The following is a 26244-nucleotide window of genomic DNA, read 5'->3' on the forward strand; positions in this document are numbered from 1 at the left end:
AAAAACCCATTTTTGCCCCTCAATTTTAAGAAGACGCTGCAGAGTTCTTAGCTTAAGCTATAAAGGTGAGTACTCAACATCCAGGTCTAACAGCTTCTAATTTAGGGAGGACATATCACTTCCCTTCTCAATGTTTTTGGCTCTTCATATGCAAATGAAGAGCTCTTACTAACAAATTACTGCTCAAATCTTTGATCATGTTTTGAAGCAAAGTCTGAGAGAGGAGGCTTTCTGGAAGAGCTTGGTAAGAAGTCAGTAAACTTTGATTTGTCTCAGAGAATTTAGGTTCATAAATAGCAAGGGTGCAAACTCCATGTGACTCAACAAATATTTGAATTTGTCATTCAAAAAATATCAAACATATATAGGCTATTTCGCATTATTGGGGGTACGTCGAGGCATTGACAGTGCCATGTATGCCAGTGGAGCCGTTCCTACTCTTGCTCTGAATAATTCTCTGTGGGGCTGGCCTGGGAGTGCAGAATCCCTCTGCAGCAGATGTGGCCTTCTGCACGCTCAGAGCCCCAGGACACAGTGGACATTGAAGGGGAACAGAGAAGTAGAGGGTTTCCCTCATCCTTAGCCCATGCCTGGAGCAGGGGGCCAGGAAATGAGAGGTGGTATTTGTTTCCTTTGCTGAAAATGGAGTGAGGTGACCTTCCGATGTACCCAAGCACCTTATGACAGTGTGTTTTTACCACTTCCCAGAACTGACCATCTGCCCAACTTTTGGACCAATCCTGGGCCACTGGTGGAGCCAGGAAGCCTGGAGGGTCATGGAAGGGGAGACTCTTGCCCAGTAGTCCACAAGAGGGCTATGCAGCTGGCATATTGGCCCACAGAACCCCCAGCCCTGCAGCATGGCCCTGAGCCCTCACAGGCCCAGAGCAGAGGCAGGAGTGGAGGCTGCCAGGGTTTAGACCCTCCTTCACTAAAGGGTCCCCAGGTTCATTTTTGTCTCCGCCGTCTGCCATCCCGTCTCATGGGCTCTCATGATGGGCTCATCAGGTTCTTGAATTCTTTCCAGTTGTCACTAATTACACTGCAGATCCGTAAATCATTCCAGGCTGGGGCTGACAGGGAGAGACGGGCCCTCTGCCATCCTGAGCTCGGGGCTTCCTGCCACACCTGCAGCCAGTGACCCTAAGGCAGCCGCTGATCAGTGCTCAGTGTAGAAGGGAGGGATGGCCAGTCCCTCAGTCACCCATCCCCAGGCTCTAGCCCTGGCTGTGGCCACATATGTGTGCTCATCCTGGAACTAGGTCTCAGGTAATGCAACCCCTGGAAGAATGCAGCTACTGTCTCTGCCTATGGGTTTTTATTGCTGTTTGAATATTAAAGACAGCTGCGAGGAAAGGTGAGCTTATTTCATCTGGAGTTTGATAAAGTTGAGACAGCACTCCTCAAACTTAGTTTAATAACGCAACAGACTGATTCATCAATTCTGGGATTGGGTCTACCAATCTTCATTTTAAATGTGTACCCCAGGTGATTCTTGGGTGGTGATTCAGTACCCCACTTTAAGAACTACTGTACACTAACTTACACTTTATCTCTCTCTGGCTCTAGGCTATCATTGACCCTCTTGTTTCTGGATCAGGTGAGAACCTTCTCTTTTCAACCTTGCTATTCTAATAGGGACACACATGTCTTCTGATCAAAACCACACTAGCTTCTCTGTACATAGGAGCTATTCACAACGCAGGTGCACAGGCCCCTATGCCTGTCACTGAGAGAAAGCCTGTGACCTCTGGGTGTTCTGCAGCCAGTGTGGTGGGCCGAGAGGGAGCCCCCAGTTCCCCCAGCCCACCGGCTCACTGCACAGATTGCTGGCTAATGGGGCGGAGCTAGCTGAAGTGCCTTCTATTAATGGAGCAGAATATAAACAGAATAAAGCCTTCATTTCCCAGGCTGTGGTTTCATTATTAATATACTTCACAGGTTGTACGTTTGCGCCCGTGTTTTCTCAGCTGGTGTAATCTGCGGCTCTGAGTGAGAACAGTCATAAAATTTTCATTTCCAGTTGAATGTGCGTCCAATTCGCCGTGAAATGTTCTATCTGTCGTGAATATTAAGTGCACTGAAGCAATGGCTGCTGGATTAGGCAGAGAGGTTCCCCGGCCCCTGCCAGGCCTGGCAGAGGACAGAGGTTTGCCGGGGCATGGGTGGAACTTTAACAGGGAAGCTGCACCGTGTGAAGTCTGTTTTCTTGTGGCCGCCTCCTGGAGCTTTGGTGGAAGAGAAGGAACCTACTGTCCAGGCGGGGGAGAGGTCAGAAATAATGGAGACTGTGCACCTCAGGGCCAATAAAAAGCATTCAGACGGGAGGTGAAAGGGCACAGGAAGTTCAAGTGCAGAGTAGAGAAGTGGAGGGCCAGGTAATGCCAGGACAGAGGTGAGGAGGGAGGGGATTGCAGAGGAGAGAGCAGGCCTGAGGGGAGCGTGCACCGGGGAGGCTGGTTGTCAGGCATAATATTAGAAAGAGCAAGCGGAGCATTTTATGCACGGTGCCTTTTTAGATACATCAATTAAGCGCTGAGGAGAGAGCACGATGGAGGAGGTGCAGGGAAAGGCTGGGAGTGACAGCAATTAGGAGAGCCTTTCTGTACGACGGCCTGCAGTCCTGGTGCGGGGCAGAGCGTCACGGGGACTCTGTCCTAAGAACAAATGTTTCCCACTGCCAGCTGGCCTGCAGTGGATGTTATTTGCCTCCCAGCACTGACTTAGTATCCCTTCCCCTCATGCCACTACTCGGCTCAGCCATGCCAGCTGGCTCTTCCCTCCAAACCCTTCCTCTCCTCTTTCTTAGGAGTTGCAGCATTGTGCCAGTTTCAGGGTTGAAACTCCTCGGTTGCTCCCACAGTGTGCAGAGAGACTCGGGGAGCCAAGGCCAGTAGGAGTAGAAAGCCCGCAGGATTTGATCTTCTCTACTCATCCCAGCTGCCGCGTCAGGATCTTTTCTCCCCGGGCGGCCACGTGCCCCTGTCCTATAGGGGTTTGATGAGAGAGCTGCCCCGGGCTAGAGGAGAATGAGAGGCAAATAGGAAGACTGAGTAGAGAAAGTGGAGTCTCCTTGCCTTGGGCCCACAGCCTCCTTAGCAGCACTGAGCGGAACTGGCTGTGCCCTGCAGGAGAATCCCAGGAAGACACCCGCTTTGTTTTCCCAGAACTAAAGTGCTGATTCAGGCAAAGGGGCCTTTGCCGCACCTCCCGCACAGGTGGGACTCCTCCAAGCCTGCCCGGTGGCCCACGGAGGGTGTGAATGCCTGTGCGCGTGCGTGTGTGTCTCCACCGACACAATCGCACAGTGAAAGTCAAACAGTTCGTTCTATATCTCTTGGCTTTTTACAGTTAAAGCTCCCAACAGCCCAGTGAAACAGCAATGGTGATTTTCCTCCTTTACAGGTAAGGAGCACCGCACGGCCACAGATTAAGTGATTCTGCCGAGGTCACAGAGCTGAACTCCCAGTGGAGGCAGAACAAAACCCTTTTATTCCAATCTGGAGCCATGTGCACTCTCCCCCTCCTCCAATTATTGATAGTTGACTCCCTCTCTGGTTTCCAATTGTTTTGCTTTGGATAATATTCAAATAATTTTGTGTTTCTGAAACGCACACCTGCGGTGAGGAGTGAGTTGAGAGGAAGAAGCTGAAAAATGAGCTGAGCTGAGATATTAAAGTGGTAGAAGAAGAATAACTTACCAAGTGACATCCTAAACACATGTAGTTATAGCTCGGGAAGGCATCGTCTGTTTCGTATGTCGGCCGTCCTTTCACACGCCAGTCACATACCGACTCACCTTCATTGTGAGCAGAAGCCTTGAGAACAAAGCTCAGCATCCAGCATGATGCCTACAGCAGGCAAGAGCCCGGCCACCCTCTCTAGCCCCAGGCTCATTCCCTGCCCTTGCTCCCCACTGTCCTGCGTCTTCCCAGGGTGGACTCCAGACATTTAAGCTTTGCAGATACTGTTCCCTCTGCTGAGAAAACCACTCCATCCTCCTCCCCTCCCCAAACCTGGTGCCCACCCTCACATCCTTCCAGAGGCAGCAGACAGGCTGCCTCTTTGGGAAACCTTCCTGGGCACCAGTTTTCACCCCCAAGTGTGGCCCCTCCTCCTGGGCTCCCCATGAACTTGACATGCACACATCTCAGGCTCATCATTGATCGCCCTGTGGTTTGCCATCTGCGTGTATGTCCAGCTCACAGAAGAGACAGGGAGGTTGTCAGAGACCCTAGAACATCCATCCTTGGACACATACTCAGGGCCTGGGCATTGGAATTATACAAATTTGGGTTTTAAGCCCAATGTTGCCGCTTAGTTGCTATGAGGCTCCTGATGAATCACAAAACCGGCTTAGGCCTCTGTTTTTACATCGCAAAAATGGGGATCATAACTTCCTCAGAGGCAGGTTGTAAGCAAGCAATCAGTGAGGAAATATATACGTGCTATAGAAAACTTAGATACTTTTGCTTCCCTTCTCTTTAATAGATGTCTCTTCTTTCCAATAAATGTTTACTGGGTGAATAAATGAATAAGAAAAAAACATATAATGAAGTGCAAAATTGTTTGGTTCAGACTCAAACTATACTGGAGATTCAGAAGGAAAATATCATCAAAAGGAAGTATGGCCAGGGTCTTCAAGCAGGAGGTGGGCCATGGAGGGATCCTGGATTCGGGGATAAGAACCCTTTAAAGTTGGATCTAGGAGACCACCCTCTGCACATTCTCATACCTTCCTCCTTTCCTTTCCTTTTGGATTTCCCTTCTTTTCTCTGTCTCTTTCTCTATCCCTGTCTCTTTTCTACTCTCTGATTTCTTTCACTTGTTGGACCTGAACACTTAGTAGACACTTGCTACCTCATTTTACCCCCTGTGTATCTCTAATCTTAAATCTGAACTAGTTAACCCCTGAGAAAGGTCATTTCCAGCTCTTAAATCCTTGGATTTTCCAAGAGCCTCACCTTCTCTCCACAGGCCCTAGAGAGAGCACCTGAAATGCCATTAAATGGTCACAGCCCACAGCATCCAAACATGGGAGAAAATGGAGAAATTAGGAGAAAGTGCTCCCAAAATGTTCTTGTCTGATGAATCTTTAATTCTACCCCTTGTGACTCAGAACTCCTGCCCTTAAACTGCATTCAGAATGCATTTCGCCAGTGTCCCATTCTCAGGGAGGGAGAGACAGGGGAAAAAACTGCTCATCCTTCTCCTGGCTTGTCACTGTAGAGTTGAGATAATAATAGTCTTTTTCTGATCCCCTGAACTTTCCCATCTGCTTCATAAAACAATGGCAATTTTTTTCCCTTGCTCTGTCTTCCTCTCTCTCTTTTATTTTTATCCTCCTACACTATAATTTAAAACTGTGGCAGTGCTATAGCCCTTGAGGTTTTTTTTTTCTCTTTCTTCTCCCCTTGCTTTAATACATGACTGTTATTTAAAATGGCCTTTCATCTGAGCACCAGGAGGCTGCCTGAGCAAGCTGCCTCCTGCTTTTAGAGAGGGAGGGTAGGGCCAGTGTGGTCCCTGGTCTCACCTAGCACCTAGTTCTCTTCAGTACTGCCATGCAAATCAGAAGTGTTGTTTGTTCTTTCTGAAAGAAGACATCGGAAGCCAAGGTCTGGAAGTGCCCCTCCCTCAGAAATGGACGTCATATCAAGCTGGTGGCTGTCAGTGGTCCACCACGCATCAGGTCTAAATAAAGCAATTTCAGCTGAAGGCAGTAAATTCAGTGTGCCCATTGATGCCAGGAGGGAAACATGTATCAGCCACTCAGCATGGAGACTCAGCCGTTGCTATGCAGGCTTTTGCTCAGCTGCACTGCCAATCACCATTCAGATGCATCTCTCCTCAGCTGGATGGGCACTGCATAGGAAAGGGTGGTGGTCAGGGACTTCTTTCCCGGGGGAAATGTCATCTGTTTTGGGGATCAGAAAGGAAGGTGTCGGACACTGGTGTTTCCCATACCAACTCTGCAGCCTTCCCTGCCATGGATGCTCGTTCAGCTGCTGCTTTGGAGCACTGGCTGGAACATGCTCCACACACTTCCTGTCTCTGTGACAGTTCAGTTCCATGACTGCACCTGTACCTCTGAAAGTGATTTTGGCCTTGTCTTTTCTCTCCAAGCTCTCTCCAGAGCCCCCTCTGAACTGGCATCAGCAAAGCAATCATATTCTAAATGAGCTTCATGAAGAATATGCCATTGCAGTAAAACACCAGAGACAGGATAAGGCTGAAGGCTAGAAAATAAATCGTGTGTGTGTGATGAGAGGGTGTGTGTGTATGTGTGTGTGAGGGTAAGGTGTGTTCCAGCCCTCATGAACGTGGTGATCACTTCCTTCTTGAATTAAGCAGCCCTCCTGTCAGCTGGAGAAAGAACTCCCTGGAGAAGGCAGGGACCGCCTATCCCCAGCTGATCTGCTGAGGAGGCCACCCACCTGCAGGAGATGGACAACATTTTAATCCTGGCTACGTGGGTTGTTTCCTTGTGTGATGCCCAGAAGGACTGGCGGCAGGAGGAAATTCCTGGAGAAATTGTCTCTTGAGTCAGGTTGTTGGATTTCAAATCCTAGGTGTCATTGCTTCAGTCCCTCCTTCTCCTTAGAATCCTCCTTTCCTTTAAACACTGGAAATGATTCTTAAAACCATGTACAACTATTAAGGTGAGAAAGGCTGAGAAGTCAGGATCCAGGATTTTCTCCTGAATGTGATCTCTCACCCTGATGTGGTGAAGGTCATGGCCTCCAGCCAGGCACTTTCTCTCGGTTTTCTCTTCAACTCATTAAAGGACCATTTTAATCAATGTTTTTACCTTCCCCCCGATAATCCAAGGATGTCCAAATAATTTTAATTTTCTCTCTCTTGGCCCAACTTCATTGCCATTGCTGGTATATAGCTTAATTAACAATCTATTTTAAGATATTGTTTTAAATGATTTTCACTTATCACCAATTTATCACCTTCTTTCTGTTTATTTCTTCCTGCATCTTAGACCTTACATCTGGGATTATTTTCCTTCTGCCTTAATCCTCTTTCGAATTTCCTCTGGGAGAGCTCTGCTGCTAGTGGCATATTTTCTCAGTTTTTGTTTAGTGAAAATGTCTTATTTTGTCCTGATTCCTGAACGGTACTTATTCTGATACAGAATGTTAAGTTGGAAGTCATTTTCTTTCAGTTTCCTAAGGAACATTTGGCTCTCAGTTCTGCTGTTGAGAAGTCAGCTGTCAATCTTATTTTTATTTCCATGAACGTTTTCTGCCTTTCTGCCCAACCTCCAACAACCCCTGTTGCTTTTAAGATTTTTTCTTTGGATTTGGCTTTTTGCAAGTTCACGATGCTGTGTTAGCTATAGATTTCTTTCTTTAACTTTTCTTCAGATTTGTTAGTATTCTGGAATCTATGGATTAATTTTTTTATTACTTCTGGAAAATTCTCAGCCATTGTCTCTTCAAATATTGCCTCTTGTCCCCTTTTCCCTTTCTTCTCTCCTTTTGGGACTCCTCACTAAATGTAGACAAGACCCCTCCCTCTGTCAATGCCCTTATGCATTGTTTGGCATTCTTCATCTCTTTGTCTCTTCACACTATTCACTTTTTTTTTTTTCGTTACTTAACTTACAGTTAATTGATTCTCTCTTTAGCTGTGTCTCATATTCTTTTACACCTTTACACCAGTATTTTTAATTTTTCTTTTCTAGAAGTCCTATTTTTACTTTTTTTCCTCAAATATGCTAGTTACCTTTAATAGGTTTATTTTCCAATATTATTAGTCAAGTTTGTCATGCATTTCTTTATATAAAGATATTTGTTTTACAGTCAATGTTTCATGATTCCATTATCTGATATATTTGTATATGTTTCTGTTTTCTATTTTATGCTGTTCTCACTCTTAGTATCATGTTTTCTTGTGTGCCTGGTTACTTTTGGCTCTGTGAGGCTCATTGTATTTTTTTACAAAAAGCTGAAAAATTTTGAGCCCTAAAATGAAAGCACCTTCCCTAAAGAATGATTTATATTTACTTCTGCAAGATGACCGAGGTCTATGTAAACTCCATTAAGGGTGTCTAATTTCTGAGCTAGCCCAGGTAATTCAAACCGTAACACAATTTCTTGGAGAGAATGTTTGTCTTTTGGTTCACTCCCACCTTGGGGATGCAGCTTTTTGCAGTCTCCACTTATTGTACAGAGCTTTTCCTGTTAGACTCCATCACTTCAAAAGGGTGTTGGGCTTTGATTCCTGTTCCCCTGTCCTTTCAGATTGTCAAACAAAGGCTTCAATTTACCTGACTCAGCAAATGCCCTCAGGTCAGGAACCAGCTGTCTCTTGGTTCATGTTTTATCTTTAATTTAGGGTCTGGTAATTCTGTACCAGGAAGGAAGCTTTTGATACTTTTAAGAAAGATGTAAACTGTCTCATCCAGTTCCTTTGGTAGTTTTCAAAGGGAGGGTAGCCTGAATAACCTAATCTGCAGTACCTGTTTAAACCACATCGCACATCTGCTCTCCATCCACAGCTTGAAACTTCCTTATGCGATGATGAGCCTACCTATGAGGAAAGGGCAAGGCATGTGGAAGCCACTCCACTGCTCACCAGCTGTTTCACTTTGTACAAAGATCAAAGTTTATATCTTTCTGTGTCTCAATATCCTTGGATGCGAAATGGCGGGACCAATAGCCTGAAGTGCCTGTGCCTACCCCACAGGGTTATTCCAAAGCTCAAAATGATCCTCGGTGTGTATTTTGCTGGACTCAGTGGTACGTATGAATGTGCCGTTTGGAATTTCAAGCCTACTACTTATGTGTGGGACTTGGAATTTTCTGGCTTGTCAAAGAGGGGAGGGCCAAAGGGCAAATGTAGGGCCAGGAAGAGGCGCAGGCTTCCACCCATGAGAAGAAAATCTTTAGGCTAACAGTGACAAAGCACAGCAGCAGTAAAGCACAGGTGCTCCAAACCTGAGGCTTGCCTCACCCTGCCTTTCCGCCCAGACAGAGAGTGATGACTGGGAGGCAAGGCCGTGGCCTTCTGTTTGGAATGTCTTGAAAGCAGGTTTGTCCTTGGAGCACTCCCTGCCATAAGCCCCTCAGCCTCCCTCCTACCTCTCCTTTTCCCTCCCCTCTTAGCCAGGGCTGGCCGCTCAGCGTCAGTTCTACTTGGCAGGCCTTCTTTTCCTCATCTTTATCTTAGCATTTGTTTCCCATCTTATGAAAAATTGCTTATCTACCTACAATCAACCTTTCAGCTCAGCTCCCTATCAGCTCCTTTATCAGCTCTACCATCCTAACTTCTCATTTGTTTCTGACAGGCATCCTGTAACAAATTCTTAATTTGATGAGCTTGATATAGCCCACTGGCTAAACAGTGAGCTGAAGCCAGGGCTGGCTGCAGGAATATCCCATACTGTTCAGCCACCCATTTTCTTGAGAGCAGAGAGTCCCCAAAAAAGGGTGGAAATGGGAGAGGAGCAATTCTGTGGGGCATATGGCAGCAGGAAAAGAAAGCCTGGAACAACAGTTTTCCATGGGGAAGCCTGGAAGACAGTGTTGGACAGAGGCACCTGAGGCCAGAGATGTAGATGGGTAGATGAATAAGAAGTTGGTTAATAAAAGAGAGAGAAAAACAACTTGCAGCTTTGAGATACTTCTTGGTAATTATAGATGGGAAACACAGGCTCGGATACATGAATACCTGGGTCTTTTTGTCCTGATATATGGCTGGGTAATCAGAGCAGCCGTCCATGTGCACCATGATTTCTGAAACCATTGTTCAGAGTGACATTGACTGTCTCTGAAAGGTTAATGGGTATTTACGTAGGGAGGAAAAATGTACCTTGGTTAAATAAGTTTAAGCAACTGTGTGTGCTCCATTTCCCATTTGGAGATCCATAGGATATAAGAACTTAAAGATTCTAAAAATCCTGCCCTTGATCTAACGAACCCAGTTTCCCCAGACTTGTGTGACAAAGATGTCCTCTTTGCAGAATACTAATTACAGTACCGTCTTGCAGGATACTTAGAAGAAAATGTTGATTCTAAAGCCATAGTAGGCTCTGTTTTACCTCTGCTGCTATTAAGGGATTCTCTGTCCAACAACAATGTTTCTAGAATGGTAACTGTGAGCAAAATGTCCTTTCTGGAACACATGCCATGTCCTGGAGCTTAGGATCTGGTAATCTTCTATCTCACTATCTGATGATGATAATGACCCCCCATTTATTGAGGGCCTGTTAATCTCCTAGGTGCTTTTTCTATGCATGACTTCTAATCCTCACTATGATCCCACAGGAGAGATAGCATTACCCCATTTCTTCTATGAGAAAATTGAGAGTCGGGCTTATTAAATAATGTGCCCAAGGTAAGCGGCTAAGCCAGGATTTCATCCAAGGTCTGGCTAACTCTAACATAATGTTTGTTTTCATCACACTATACCCATTATGAAAATGGGGCAGATTTCAAAAAACAGAGAAGAATGATTTAAAAAGCAAATAAATTTAGCAGCCTGTCTAGTTACATACAAGGACCACTTATTGATTGAATGCTAGCTCTAGGAAAACAAAAATCTGAAAATTATCTAGTCCTATTGTTTATTTTTCCCCTTGTAAATAAAGAAACTGAGATCTGTAGAAAGTAAAATGACTTGCTCAGGCTCACGTGGCCAGCTGGTTTCAGAGTCAACATGATCACTACCAATTACCCTGACTTCCAGTCCAGAGTTACTTATACCCATAGTGACTTTTTCCCCCTCCTCTCAGAGACTGTTTTTCAGGCTAAGACTTGCCAAAATGCTCAATTTGCAGTGTGAAGATGATAAAGACCTCCTCAGGCCTGCCCTCAGCTCGGCCCCTCTATGAGGAGGCATCAGGAACAAAGGCTGTCCTTTCCATCTGCATATACTGAGGACCTCGTGCAGAGGACATAGGAGCTCAGCTTGCCATCGTGCTGCACTCTCCTGAGTTCTCCCTGGATATGGAGTCTGGAGAAATGAGGCAGTCTCTGCAGGTTTAGCTGGGAACTCAAGCCAAGCAGGGGCTGGAAGGCAGCTCTCTGGACTCTGCCAAAGCCTCCTCTCACCTGGTGTTGTTTGCTATCCAGACTCTTCCTGTCCACCAACTCTTCTAGATTTGAGCTGCCAAGTAAAGCCGGCAGCCAGGCACTTAGCCCTTAGACGCACTGACAGGGCCTGTGTGTTCTACTGAGCACCCGGCTAGAGACAGACCTTATCTCCTGCCTGCCCCTCCCTGGGGAGTGTCTCCCCGCAACCCGTCTTCATCCCCAGCATTCTTCAATCTCCTTCTCGCCCACTTGTCTCCTGGTTGCTTCTCCTATTATTTCTGTGATTCCTCTCTTCCTTTTGTCTTTATCTAGAACTGTTGCTTTGTTTCCCCCTCACCTTTTCCCATGTTTCACAGAAGGCCAGTCTCCTTTTCCCCACGTCTCTGTACACACCCACTGTGAATGCACTTTGTTTTCACCTCTCCTCAGCTGCTCAGTCCTCCTAAGTGTCTCTCTGTGCTCCGCCGTGGCATTGTTCTCAAGTCCCATCTACCGCTGGCCTTCCTTTGGCCACTCTTCCCTCATTCCTTTAATTTTCTTTGACCTCTTTGTATATTTTTCTTCTCCAATGTGATCCCTTCTCTCTCTCCCACTTCTATAAAAGACTCGGTTTCTGCATCACTGGAAGACCGCACCACCATTCTGTGGTGATGGTGATGGCTGCTGGGTTAAAGGAAATCAGTGTCTCCTCTTCTGGATGGGTTTGGATGGTTTCCAGTGAGGTCAGAATCCTGTTGCCCCTGCTGGGATTCTCCAGCCTGGGGTTCTCATTCTTGGCGCCATTGATATTTAGGCTGGCGAATTTCTTCTTGTGGGGGCTGTTCTGTGTATGATGGGATACCGGGCAACACCCCTTATCTCTACCCACTAGATAGCAGTAACAAGCACATCCCAATTGTGATAAACAAAAATGTCCCCAGACATTTCCAGATTTCCCCTGGGAGGCAACATCTTCCCCATTTGGGAAGCACAGCCCTAGCCCACAGCCTGCAGCCTTGCTTCTAGAACCACATGCGGAGTTGAGGTTTCTATGCCTGTTGGATAAGCAGAAAAAGATGTGGAAGTGGTGGATGCTGTCAGTGGAGACACAAGAAGTGTGTTTGCCAAGATAAATTTGAGCCTGAACATTTTTTTTATCTCTTTGGTTTGAGTCTGATCTCTTTCTACTCCTTTCTTTTAGCTCTTTAGCTCTCTTTTGGCTCTCTTTTAGCTGTCTTTTAGCTCTTTCTTTTAGTCTTCTTTCACTGTAATCCAAACTTCTTTCTCTCCTGACAATATGACGTTCTTGAGTTGCAGACTGCTAAAAACGGCTCTGATTAAGCCCTTTAAGTGATTCCTGCAGAAGTGGCTCTGACGGTGTTCCATCTGTACCCTCAGAAAGGTCAAGGTGTCACTCGGCTGCTCGAGGGAACTCTGCTTCTGGGCTCCCAGGTGGTTAATGCCTGTTTGATTAGCTGTAAAACAAAATCCAGAAAATGCCAAGAGGCAAATCTCAATTCACCTTTCAGAATGAAGCTCACTGCCCAGTCAGAGAAGGGGGTGCGGAGTGGGTGGTGAGATCCACAGCTGTTAAATTCGCAACAGGTAAGCCAGCAAATAGACTCAGTCCTAATGCGGCTGCCCTCATCTGCTGAACCACCTGAGTCACCTTCACCTTTCTGCTGCTGACTCTTGGCTGGAATGTGGTTCAGTCCTATTTGCTCTGCTTTCCATGCAGCTCTGCCTTCCACTTGGGTGCCCACTTCCATTCCAGTCAGCCTCCCCCTTCCCTGCTCCACTGCCGTCCTGTTGCTTTCCTTCCAAGCTCACCTCTACACCCAGGAAGCTGGTCTCGGTTGCACATCTTCACCTCGCTCCTCTCACAAATGCATCTCACTCCCAAATCTGCTGCAAAACATCAGAACCAAAGAATAATAATAATAATAAAAATAGACATACCCAGTGAACGTCCTCCTCCATTGAGCTCCTCCCACCTTCTCTTCTCTATCCCTGCACCACATCTGTGCATACTCCTTCCTAGAAGGCAAATGTGGAATATTCTGTCTAGGCTATGCAGAGGGTGGGCTCCTAGGAAGCATCTCCTCATTCACTTCTCTCTTGCACATACCACACACAATGGTTCTAACACCATGGTTGTCTTGCTTTCCAACATCCTTTTCATATTATTTTCCAAATCCCAGTGTGGTCCTCCCACGTGCAGCCCTTCATTGAGGAAGACAGCATTACTGACCAGACCACAGTCATGACCATAGCATCTGAAATGAGCAACGCCCATCACCCAGTGCTTCCCTCACCCCTCCAGTGTCCATCACTGGGGCAGCATGCCAGGAATGTTGACCAGGATTTAGAGTGCGGGCCAACCTAATCACTTGCACTGTTCGGCCTCTGCAATGGATACACTTTCCTCTCTCACAGAGCCAATCAGCCACCTTCCACCTTTGAGTTCCATCACTTTGCCGGCTTTTTCTCATTCTCTGTGCTCTTCCTCTCATTCCTGGCTCTCCAGGTCCTTTTTCCACCATGACATTCCTAAAGAGAGGTGCTTGCTGGATGCGAGCTGGCTCTCGCTCTGTTGGTTGATTTTTTTTTTTTTTTTCCCCTGGGCTTGTGTGGACTGGCAGGGCCTGTTCTCAGATGGAAGGTGTGAAAGTGGCATAAACGGCACATGAGTGCATCTGTTTGTTCCCAGTGACTTCAGGAGAGGCAGAGGTGGGCCAATCAGCCCCACTCTCACATATGGCCCCAGCGATTCCAGCCGCAGGAGAGTGGGCCTGCCGCCCACGGACCCGTGTTATCGTCGGGACCCCTAGCTCCCACAGACAGGATGTGTGTGTTTGTCTGGCTGCATTTCTGCAGGAGCATCTGTCACTCTCCAATATTTCCTTTATCATTGCAGCAAATTATTTAAACACTACCCACTGAACCCCATCTGTCACCGCGCCCCATCACTGTCAGGGCCCTGCCTCCCCAGGTCTGCAAAGCAACTCGCTGGCAAAGGCTCTGTGCCAAACAACAGGGCAAATTAAATCAAAGCGCGCTCTGGCACCCAGGGGGAAAATGCACATCAGTTTTGACTTATTGCATGAAGCACGCTTACAAGAGAGAAAGCAGCGGCTTTTGTCACTGCAAGGGGCCATGAGAAATGAATTAGGGCCTCTGCTGAGAGGGCATGGAGGAGAATCTTTCATTCTGAGATGTTGTCCTTTCTCACCTTGCAAGAAGGAAATAATAAAAGGAGAACTTGTGGTGGGTCTAAGTGTCTCCAAGCTTTGACACTATCCTGAAGCACTTCTGGGTGTAGAAAGGAAGTGACCAGTTGGAGACAAAAGGACTTTGAGAGGCTTGGAAATAGCCTGAGTTACATGGTGCCACCAGAGGGTGAGAACTTGAGCAGGTGCAGGTAAGAGCTAACGGCATCTGTCCATCCCGGGAAGCTGGAGCGGGGAGGGACAGAGGGAAATGCAGGCCTCATCCTCACTCTGCCCTGCAGTGTGGCCTGGGAACTCCTGAAGAAGCCAGCATGACAAGGGAGCAAAACCAATGTCACCAAACCCTCACTACACACCACTTGCTGGGATAACTCTTCTTCACACTTGATCTCTTTCAATCCCCAGATTCTCATGAGATAGGAATTATTTTTGCCCATCTTACAGATGAGAAACCTCAAAAAGTTTAAAGCGATTGCTTGCGATCATCCAATTTATGTGTGGCAGGGCCAGGATTCAAAACTACATCCATCTGATTTCGAAGCCCATTGCCTCTCTTTATAAAAGAATTTCTCCTCTGTCTCCCTGCTCCCCGTGAGACACAGCTCATTTGTTTTCCTATAATGAGGGAGGGGCCTTCGATTTCCTAATAGATTGCTCACCTGCCGTCCTAGTGGAGCTGGCATTTACTGTGGCATTTACTGTGTAGCTGCAGAGCCTTCCCCACCAGACACATTTGTACTTTGTGACAGCAAGAACACATGGACAGCTGCTGGGGCATTTCTAACACAGCCCTTCTCAGGCAGAGATCTTGGCTGGGGACAGCATGACTCCATCCTCCAGGAGAGGACAAGCCATGCGGCATCTCTAATTAGAACCCAGGCTGGAACATTCAGCTTAATGAGCTGGGAGTTGGAAACGCTCAGCTGGAAACGAGTTGGTCTGGCAGAAAGGACATAGGACTGAGGGACACATTTTCTAAACTCTGTCCTCATCTCAGTTGTTAATCATCTTCTGCTTCTGTCTATCCATCAGTTGGTTATTAGACTGTGTTATTGTGCATTTGCCTCAAGTTCAGAGTGAACATGCGTTAAATATATTGGACGATGGCTTAAATGGATGATTTTTCCTATAGTCTTCTAGGAGGTCGCTCGATGTTGCCAAATACTTGGGCAGTTCTTGGACTGCTGACATATTTTAAATAGGATGTGCCACCCTAAGTAGTGTCTTTGCTTTTTGCACTCTCTCAAAACTAGGGAAGTCCAGGTCAATTACCATAGTGTTGTGCTTTGCCATAGTGATTTTCTCACCTAGGCTTCTCTCTATGTATTTCTTGAGAGTTTGGACCCATATAACTTTAGCCGTCTTTTGAAGATTGTTGGCCACAAAAGAGAAAGCGGACAACTCTAGACCTAGGGCCACAGTGTCAAGGGACCACTGATCTAAAATGAGCCTTTTGTGTGGCCCACTATTTCCGTTCAACACAAGTAAGCAGGGACACCACGTGGAAAAGAGAATGATGCTTATGACTTTGTCAAAAATTCATAAGCACATTATTGTAGTGATTGAGTATTCACCTGTAAGATAGTGACAGACATCCTTCGTGTGTGTGACAGTCAAACTGAATGTTCAGTTCAATTCAGTCAAAATAGTCCAATTCAGCAAACACCCAATAGTTCTGTTTGGAAGCATCTTCTGTGTTTAATTCCATAAGTTTCCTATTTGTGTCCTGCCCCTGATTTAACTGCTAGAAATATTACTCATCTCTTTGTGATTTTAAAGGAAGCATTGACCACCTCCCCTGCCTTGGTTTCTCTGTGAGTCACTGCTAGATACGGCTGTGGGAGCAGGCTGATGATAGGTAAGAATCATGTATCTAGAATCTCTCTCCCCACAAATATATGACTTTCTAGTAAAATCATGCTTTCAAAATAGTTGCCATTTTAAATATGAATGTAAGTTTTGATATGATTAATATTGGAAAGAGCCTTAAATTCCAATGCATAAATTTAAAAGAAAAAAAAAGACCTTGAGGCAGGGTGAGGAACCTCTGAAGAAGCTCAAATGAAAAAAAGAAATGTAGAAACTGCACATTGCAGACTGATGGCACTGCAGGGTCAGCTGTAAAATAGTTTTTTAGGCCAGGCTTGGTGGCTCGTGCCTGTAATCCCAGCACTTCGGGAGGCCAAGGAGGGTGGATCACAAGGTCAGGAGTTTGAGACCAGCCCGACCAACATGGTGAAACACCATCTCTACTAAAAATACAAAAATTAGCCTGGCGTGGTGGTGCACACCTGTAATCCCAGCTACTCGGGAGGCTGAGGCAGGAGAATCGTTTGAACCCGGGAGGCAGAGGTTTCAGTGAGCTGAGATTGCGCCACTGCACTCCAGCCTGGGCGACAGAGTGAGACTCCATCTCAAAAAACAAGAAGTTTTTTAGTTGATCACCAATAAATCAACTAGGACAGTTTTTTGTTTTTGTTTGTTTGTTTGTTTGTTTGTTTGTTGAGACGGAGTCTCTCTCTGTCGCCCAGGCTGTAGTGCAATGGTGTGAGCTTGGCTCACTGCAAACTCCGCCTCCCAGATCAAGCAATTCTCCTGCCTCAGCCTGCCAAGAAGCTGGGATTACAGGAGTGCACCACCATGCCTAGCTAATTTTTGTATTTTTTGTAGAGACGGGGTTTCACCATGTTGATCAGGCTGGTCTCGAACACCTGCAACTAGGACAGTTTTGAGTAGAATCAGTTGATGAAGGCATTTGCCTGGGTGGCGGGAGCAGGAGAGATGTACCTTAGGAAAACATGGAAACTTTTGTGAATGGGAAACAAGGGAGGAGGAGGACTAGCATTTAAGTTATTTTGTGACTTTCTAATTAGCAAAGAACTCAGCCTGGCACCAAACTCAAAGCTAAAACCTGGCTGAAACAGGCAGTCTTTCTTTAGTTACCACGGAAGCCCATGGATGAATCAATGTTAAATCTAAAAAATCACCCAGCCTTTTTTTTTTTAAAGATAAGAGAACATAAGTTCAGAGAAATTAAGTGAATTTCTCAAAGTCACACAGCTAATTAGTAGCAAAAGTAAGGTTTCCAGACAGTGTAACTATTTTTGTAACAGTCTTTCCACAGCATCATGCTGTCTCTGAATTACCATGGGAATGTTTATTTTTGCTTTTGCTTGTTCTATTTGTTTTTAAGAAAGTTCTAAACTTTGCTTTGGACAGAGGTGCTTCAAAATGTGGATGATGTAATTAGAAGTAAGAGAAACCAAAAAATGAATTAAAAAGTCCACAAAAAAATTATTAATATGGCACTCAGTGTTAAGCTGAAATTCTGGTACAAGCTTGTGTCCTCGGGTTTTGACTTGTCTGTGGTTTGTACAACTAGACTATAAAATATTTCAAAAAATGATTTTATTCACAATCTGGCCAAACTGGCTTGTTCTGGCTGAAGAGCTACATCAAAAGAGGGTCACCAGATGGGAAAGCCTTCGTCTCCGGGGCATGGCCTAAAACACAGCTGAATTATCCGGTGTTGGCAGTAGAACACCACGGAACCTTCTGTTCAAATGTGCCCTGAACCCATTAAGTCATGAGCCTCAGGCTGGTTTAGAGAGTGGCTTCTAGGCATCTCGCCTTGTTTTCTCCTGAGCACCACTTGTAGACCTACTTTCTTTAGGAAAGGGAGACAGAGCCGTTGGCAGCTCAGATGTGAAATGGGGTCATGGAAAGAGAGCATGCTTAGGAGTCGAAGGATTTGGGCACTGTTGCTGGTTCTCGTTTTAGCTGCACGGTCATGCACATGTCTGTTAGCCTGATGTGAAGGTGACGCAGGTCACTCATTCCATTTAGGGGTGGCTGGGTGCACTAACCCAGTGTCTTCTTCCTTATCTGTAGAAAAGGTGGGCTTTTTATGGAGATAAGAACTCTTTGGCCAAGAGAGTAGAGGTGGCTCCACCTCCCTGCCAGAACTTCCAAACAAGCTCTCAAGGGCCTTAACATGTCACCTCATTTCTCTGAGCCTCCATTTCCTCATGCTTAAAATCAGGTTGTCTTGAAGCCCACCCCACGGTGGATGGAAAGTACTGCATGGGAATCGCTGGGGCATGTATTGGAATGCCAGTTATGAGTGCACCTGGGGGGCACAGACGCACGGCTCACAGCACTGCAGCTTCCTCCTCCCTTTTGCCGTGGTTATAATACTTTGAAGAGCAGGGCATACCAGTAGGGCATGCACTGGGAAGAGGAAAGATCCTGGTCTTCTTCTTTGTTTAGTCAGAATTGGTTAAATGCAGAACTGGTAGTTCAGACTGCCCATGTTCCAGACCTAGTTAGATGGAGGCATTTCTGACATGCCTTTTAAGATTGAAGGCAGAAGCACAGAAGGCCGTGCCAGCACAATGGAAGATAGAATGCTTGTATCTCATTGTCTGGAGAATAGATAGGTTGCAGGTTTCAGTAGAATAGGAGCTGCCAGTCAAACCTTTTTAATAGAATGGGAGCAGATAGATTTCAATAAAAGAAATGAGTATAAATATTGTGAGTGGAGGAAGGGAGAAAGCAGACAGATCATGTTTGACTAGTCACAGTGGGGAAACTTTGCACGAAGTTTAAACTGAAAACCCATAAAGCCAAGGTGGGTGACTGGGTTGAATCCATCGACAGCTGCAGATCCAGGGCTTGCCCCATGGGCATCCATTAAGGAGGCTCCAGCTGGATAAAGAGCACTCCAAGTCTGTGGTCTTTCCTCAACTCTAAGCCCATCCCAGCCAAGTGCAATGAGCATTCAGCTATCTGTTTTACTGGCATCCTCCACCCCCACCCTATACAGAATCCACGGAACCCTGCTGGCATTGTGCCTGTAGCTGGTGCCTTATTAGCCAGGGGGACTCTGAAATAATTCCCCCAGGAGTCTCTCCAGGGCAGTAGCCCCTTCCACCATAGTCCCAGAGAATTATTTGTTAGCAGCTGCCTGATTTGTCCCCAAATTAGCAAACCAACCACCTACCAAGGCCTTTTGGCTCCTTCTCCCCACTGCCTCAGGTTCCCAGGATTTCTGTGTATTTTACCCAAGGGTGGGACTTTTGGCCATTTTGTTTGCCACTGGCCACGGTTGACTAAGGCTGCTATAACAAAATACCATAGATGGAGTGGCTTAAACAACAGACATTTACTTCTCACAGTTTTGCAGGTTGGAAGTTCCAGTCAAGGCACTGACAGATTCAGTGTCTGGTGGGGGCTCTCTTCTTGACTTGTAAGTTGTTGCCTTCTTGCTGCTTCCTCACATGGCAGGGGGAGAGAGAGAAGGATCATCTCTTTTTTTATCTATTCTTACGAGGACTTTAATTCCATTCACGAGGACTCCACCCTCGTAAGCTAATCACCTCCCAAATGCCTCATCTCCTAATACCATCACAATGAGGATTAGGTCTTCAACATAGGAATTTTGGAGGAACACAAACATCTACTCCATAGCATTCTGACCCTGTCATTCCTCCCAAATGTATGTCCTTCTTACATGTGCAACACACTTATTCCATCCCAACAGCCTCAAAAGTCTTAACTCGCTCCAGAATGAACTCTAAAGTCCAAAGTCTCATTTAAATATCATCTTAATCAGGTGTGAGACAAAATTTCTTTGCAGCTGTGAACATGGGAAAACAAGTTATGTATTTCCAAAATACAATAGTGGGACAGGAATGGGGTAGGCATTCCCATTCCAAGGGGGAGAAATTGAAAAGAAAGAAGGGGCAACGGTTCCCAGGCAAGACTAGACTACAAGGCAAACTCCATGAGATCTTAAGGCTCAAGAATAGTCCTCTTTTGCTACAGGAATATATCTTCTTTTGTTTGATGCTCTGCCTTCCAGACCCAGTGGGGTGGCAGTCCTGCGCCCACAGTTCTGCAGGGCAGGGTTGCAGCTCCATGGCCTTGGGCAGCTCCAACCCCAAGGCTGTTCAAGGGGGCCATCTGGCCTGTTGAAACTGAGGTGGTGCTCCCCTGACCTCATATGAAACTTAGGAGGCTGCCCTGGTGATCTCTGAATCACTTTTTTGGGTCGTTCTTCCCTTGTCTTGAAGAATTGCACACATTCATAGCTGAGTAGTTCTAGGTAAAATCCAAGAAATCAGACAACCTTCCTTCCTTCTGTTTCCTTCAGTTTAAACCAGAAGTTCTCCTGCTAGGTCAGCTGATTAGCTTGTGGTTCACATCCACGCTGACTTCCTTATCAAGCAATGAGTCTGCCACGCCCTTAGTGTTCTTTCTTTTCCAAACATGCTTTTACATTTTGTATAATTCGGACCAGCTGAGAATTTTCCAGATCTTTACGTTCTGGTTCCTTTTTTTTTCCTGAACAATTCCATCTTCAATTCATTTCCCTTTCTCACATGTTATTATTAGCAGTCAAGAGGAATCAAACTGCTCCCTCAAACACATTGCTTAGAAAGTTCCTAAGCTAAATATCCAGTTTCATCCCTCACAAGCTCTACCTTCCACACAAAACACTGGAACGTGAACAATATTCAGCAAAGCTCTTTGCAATTTTACAACAAGGATTACCTTTCCTCCAGTTTCTAATAACATGTCCTTTATTTCTGTCTGAAATCTCGTCAGAACGGCTTTTACCATTCATATTTCTACCAATATTATGTACACGATTATTTTGGCATTCTCTAAGAAGATGGAAGCTTTCTCTCCAGTTTTCCTGTTTTCTGTTGGAATCTTCACCAGAATTGCCTTTAGTAGTAGACAGGATTCCTACAACGGAATGGCTTGGTCATAGGGCATGTTTATTTTAAATGTTTATATTGCCACCCAGCTTGCCCTCCATAAAGGCTATGTCAATTAGCAATCTCACCAACAAACAGAAATGTCTATTTTCCCACCCTTTGGCCCATAACAGATACTTTCAATAGTTTACGTTTCTGCCAGTGTGATAGGCAGGAAATTGCACCTATTTCAATTTTCATATTCCAGTTACTAGGGAAGCTATTGTGCATATTTTTTCATATTTCATATATTTATTGGATATTTGTATTTCTTCTGTGAATTGCTTGTCCATATTCTTCATCCATTTTTCTATTGGGTTGTTTATCATTTTGAAAATTGATCTGAAAAAGCAGTGTATACATTATGGACGTTAACCCTTTTTTATAAAGGTTATAAAGGGTGCAGATATCCCTCCCAGTTATTTTCTTGTCTTTTACTTTATTTTATAGTATCATTTGTCATACAACAGTTTTAGATTTGCATGTAATAAAATCTGTCAATCTATTCCTTTATGGCTTTATCATCTCGTGTTTTGCTTAGGCAGGCTTGCATTTATACATACACTGTATTGTATATTTGCATAAACCATCTTAAATCTCTTAAAAATAAAGGCAAGATATAAAGAGATGAATGAATTAAAATAAGAAGAGTTCCTCCCAGGCATATCACATGTGAAGACAGTGGTATCTTATATTTACATACCACTTTTACTTCCCAAGTATTTTCAACTTTATTATCTCATTACCCAGGCCTTGCAATGTTTCCGACAGACATAACTGCCAAAGGCAACCTCAAGCAGCTGCTCATGTATTTACCTCTGTTGCCCTCTCATGGAAAGGGCAAGAGCATGGATGACAGCTCAAGTCTCCCTTCTCTTCTTATAAAGCTGTGCCTGTCCCACCAGCAGGCCCCACCATAATGACCTTATCTAATCCTAATTGCTTCCCAAAAGCTCCACCTCCAATCAACATATGAATTTGGGGATGAAGGTTCCACCACATGGAATTTGAAGGACACATTCAAACCATAGTAGTAGCTAAGGTGAGAGGATTAGCTGCATGTGTACCAGCTATGGAGACTTGGAGCAAATAATTTTCACTTTTCTCGTAGTATTGTCTTTTAAATACTGTGGCATTAGAATCTACTCTTAATTTGTATGGTGGTTCTGTGAATGAAATGGGATTACCCATCTCAAGCATTTTAAACATAAAAATGCTCAAAGAGCCAGATATATTTTTATTAAAAAATAAAAACTGGAACAGCTTCTGGCATGGTTGAAAGGAGATGGTTTTGTACGCAAACGTAGGCTTTACTTCTTGTTCTGCCATTTTCCAGCCATGAGATTTTGGGCAAATTACTTAAATTTTCTAATACGCTAAAGTTCATTTCTGGTCCAGAGGAGACATCAAATCTTTTCTGAATTCGTTCACCAGAAACAACCCAAACTCTCCCTTGCCTTCTGAACCTCAAACTGGTAGCAATGTTGTACCAGTTTGGATTCTTCCCTTGCATAAAAACCAGCACTGATGTTAATGTAATCTAAGGGGAATACATTGCCGGGAATCTAGGGGCTTATGGAATTTATGAAAAGCTGGGTCAAATGCAGGAAACATGACAGTGAAGGTGGATGGGAAGTAGGGAGCACTGGCATGATCATTGTGATGGTGATGATGACACCAACCCGTGGCATGCAGTCGTTGTGCATCAGGCACTATTTCAAGCATTTTTTTTATGTATTAACTCATTCATTTCTAATAACAACCTGAATGAAGTATGTGCTATTCTTCTCCACGTTTTATAGATGAGAAAACTGAAGCACAGGCAGAGAGGAGTTAAGTAGAAAGCCCAGGGAAACACATCCGCAGGTGGCAGAGATGGGATACACTGTTGGGATTTCCCACCTGTCCAGGTTCAGGGTTCCTAGAAGACAGACACTTAAGCCAAAATCATGTCTGCTACTTCCTTAACACAGGGTGCTGTTCTAGGAGGAAGAATGAGGAAAAACATGAAGCAGGACAGAGCAGGAGGGAGAGCAAGTACAGGGGTGACCTTTCTGGAGCTGGTTACAGGTTCACAGTAATACACCTGCCTGCCTGGTCTATGGGATGGCTCAGGAGAGTCACAAGAAACAACTGCACTTCAGGACAGTCTTTTGTGGGAAGGAGGGACAGGGATTGATCACTCCTGGTTGAAGCCTACAGCAAGGGGCATTAACTCTCCGCAAGTCCAGCTGTGTCGCCCAGTCTCCCAGGCAGCTAGAGCCTCCCTGAGGTGAGTCCAGCTAAGGCACAGGCATAGCCATCTCTCTTGTTGCCAGTGTGGAGTGGGGAGCCCTGGATCTGTCCTAGTAGTGGCATCTGAGGCCGCCTCATTACAACCTCAGAGCAGTGTGAGCCCTGCTAAGATTGCTGCAGGGAGGGATGAAGCAGAAACTGAGACCCAACCTCTATCTAAATATGATTTTACATGAATATAACTCTAGGTAGAGCCAAATAGAAGCCACATGTAATGAGGAGAGGCTTTTAATCTCTTCCTCTGAGACAGTAGCATGATCTAAGTTTTAAAGACAGAGAACTCAAGAGCTAGAAGGATTATGTGATTTGAATGAGGTTTTATTGCTGTTTAGACATGGTGGTGAGAAAGAGAATCCAAGTGCCCTAGATCTTTCTGAAGTTTTGATTTTTGTTGATAGCATAGATTTAATATGCTCATAACAGTTTTGGGTCTGGTGGAAGGAGTTTCAGAGAGGAAAAGCTGTGAATGTGTGTGTAGATGGAATTTGCCTAATTGTTTTAGAACAAGCACATATTGTTGAATAACTTAGTTGACATTTGAACCAGAGAAGGCCATTAATAGATTTTGAATGTAAATGTTTTATTTGAAACCAAATGATCTTTATAGAGACTACAAGCATTAGAGGTTGTTAGTCCTCATCAGGGAAAGTTGGCGTATCAAATCATGACGGAAATAACCAACACTGCAGTTCAAATAGCAGAGGAAAGACGGGAGGGGCCACCCACCATTTATCAACATTTTCATGTGCTAGCACCTTGTAATAAGGACAAGCAGTATCTTATACATGTCTGCTGTACTCCCTTTCCCTGGAGTAGCTAGATCAAAGGATTTTTCCTCTGAAAAGCTCATTTAGTCTCATAGCAAAGATTCAGTAGATGAAAGACTAGAAGTGCAGTCCAGGAGCATAAAATCAATTAACTTAAAAAATACAGTGTAATATATTATAGCTGGTTACTTAGAGATGCTGCTACTAAAACATTGCAAACATCATCGGAAGACATGCTATCATTTAAATATATACATTCCTCACTCTTTAGTTACATGACTCTCTTTAAATCTACTGAAATTTACGTATCTCCCTCCCTCACACTTTCCTTACCCATAGTTGATGGGTTTCAAATCCACACGCAAGCCCTTATCTTGGGTTCTTGGATGATTTTTTTTTTTTTTTAATTTTCATTCAGATACCTTTAAAAAAAAAAACTCATGGGAGCTGGGTGCATGGCTCACACCTGTAATCCCAACACTTTGGGAGGCCGAGGTGGGTGGATCACCTGAGGTCAGGAGTTCAAGACCAGCCTGGCTGAAATGGCAAAACCCTGTCTCTACTAAAAATAGAAAAATTATCCGGGCATGGTGGCAGGTGCCTCTAATCCCAGCTGAGGTGGGAGAATTGCTTGAACTGGGGAGGCAGAGGTTGATGCAGGAGAATCACTTGAACTGGGGAGGCAGATGTTGCAGCGAGCCGAGATCGCTCCATTGCACTCCAGTCTGGGTGACAGAGCAAGACTCCATCTCAAAAAAAAAAAAACAAAAAAAACCCAGAAACCTCATTGAAAAATCATATCATATCCATGAAACTTTCTTAATGGAGTGCATATGGGTGTTTTTTTTGCATTCAGGAAATAAACTAATAGAAAGAAATGATAGTCAAACACAACCACAAGAACACTGCCTTTCATGTTCCTGTTAGGGACAGGCTCTTAGGAGTCAAGAACTAGATTGTAGAATCCAAGCCCCTGGGTTCATACCTATAATATTACCAAATAATGACTTTAACAAATTTTTACTGAATGCTTAAATGTGTAAAGATTTTGCCACTATGGAGCAAGAGTTATGTAAAACTTTCTCCTTACAACATAGTAGTTAGACCTTAGTTCCAATAAGACTTATATTAAAGGTAGACTTCTAGAATCCCATATTTTTCTTAATAACTACAATTTTTAAGTCATGATGCCTCAGCCTCACATCTGTGTTGCACTCTGCTAGCTACGTATACACTATTATTTTATTTCAATCTCTATCACAACCATGCAAAGTAGACATCACCCTCCTTTTTCAAATGAGGAATTCAGACTCCATGAATAGTTCAGTCAAAATTTCACAACACACATAAAATCATCAAACACCTTCTGCATCTTGTTTTATTTTTGTTTTAGAAGTTTGGCATACAATCGTGTTTGGTGAGGGAAGAAGCTGCCCATATGTTTAGGTTTGGCTAATGGTTGTGATTACTAATTCAAGTGTGTGTGTCTGTGTGTGGTGTGGATGTGTGGAGTGTGGTCTCCTCTGTGTGTGTGTGTGTGTGTATGTGTGTGTTTGTGGTGTGGGGTCCTCTCTCTCTCTCTGTGTGTGTGTGTGTGTGTGTGTGTGTGTTTTAGATAGTGCGTTAAATTTAGGATAATTTTGCATTATTTTTAAAGATAGGTCTGAGCTAATGCTAATATTTTAGTTCCATAGAAGGAAAAAGTCCAGTTTGCTATGAGAATAGTAACATTGTCTACGCTCTCTCTAGCAGAAAGGAAAGGATGGTGAGTCTCAGTGGGCAGCCTGGGGAAGGTCAGAGAATGCCAGCTTGTTCCTGAGTGGCCTCAGTGATGACCCAGACATGGTCAGTCATGATTCCTCAGACTTGGGCATAATCGAAGGATCATCTGGATCTCTGCTTCTCCTAATGCCTTTATCCCCTGCATTCCAAAGCAAGAGGGGAGAAAAGCAAAATTGAATCTGAAGGCAGACTCCATGTGACCACTTTAATTAAATGTAAGAGTGGCTGCTGTGTGAGGCAAAAGGAAAAAACTCAGGAGAAAGGGCATGATATTGTTTTGAAGCAGGGAAGCCGAGGACATACAATAGAACAAGAAAATAAAGTATGGAAGTTGTTCAACTACCGTCTGCTTCGTATGCATTCTATTGCAGGTGTAGAG

At 44.8% G+C, this 26244-nt stretch overlaps 1 protein-coding gene across 45 annotated transcripts in view, besides 1 other annotated feature; it reads left to right on the forward strand.

The window, feature by feature from the left end:
• NTM (neurotrimin) overlaps nucleotides 1-26244 on the forward strand; it is a 966208-nt gene that overhangs the window by 872392 nt on the left and 67572 nt on the right. The window lies entirely within an intron of this gene.
• Nucleotides 2678-3178: an enhancer, noted in NCBI's record as "H3K4me1 hESC enhancer chr11:132115578-132116078 (GRCh37/hg19 assembly coordinates)". NCBI's record gives its function as "activates a minimal SCP1, AML or CMV promoter by ChIP-STARR-seq in primed H9 embryonic stem cells {active_cell/tissue: H9 hESC(primed)}" and the evidence as "EXISTENCE:reporter gene assay evidence [ECO:0000049][PMID:30033119]".

This window comes from Homo sapiens, chromosome 11, assembly GCF_000001405.40.
Source record: "Homo sapiens chromosome 11, GRCh38.p14 Primary Assembly".
NCBI classification, from domain to species: domain Eukaryota; kingdom Metazoa; phylum Chordata; class Mammalia; order Primates; family Hominidae; genus Homo; species Homo sapiens.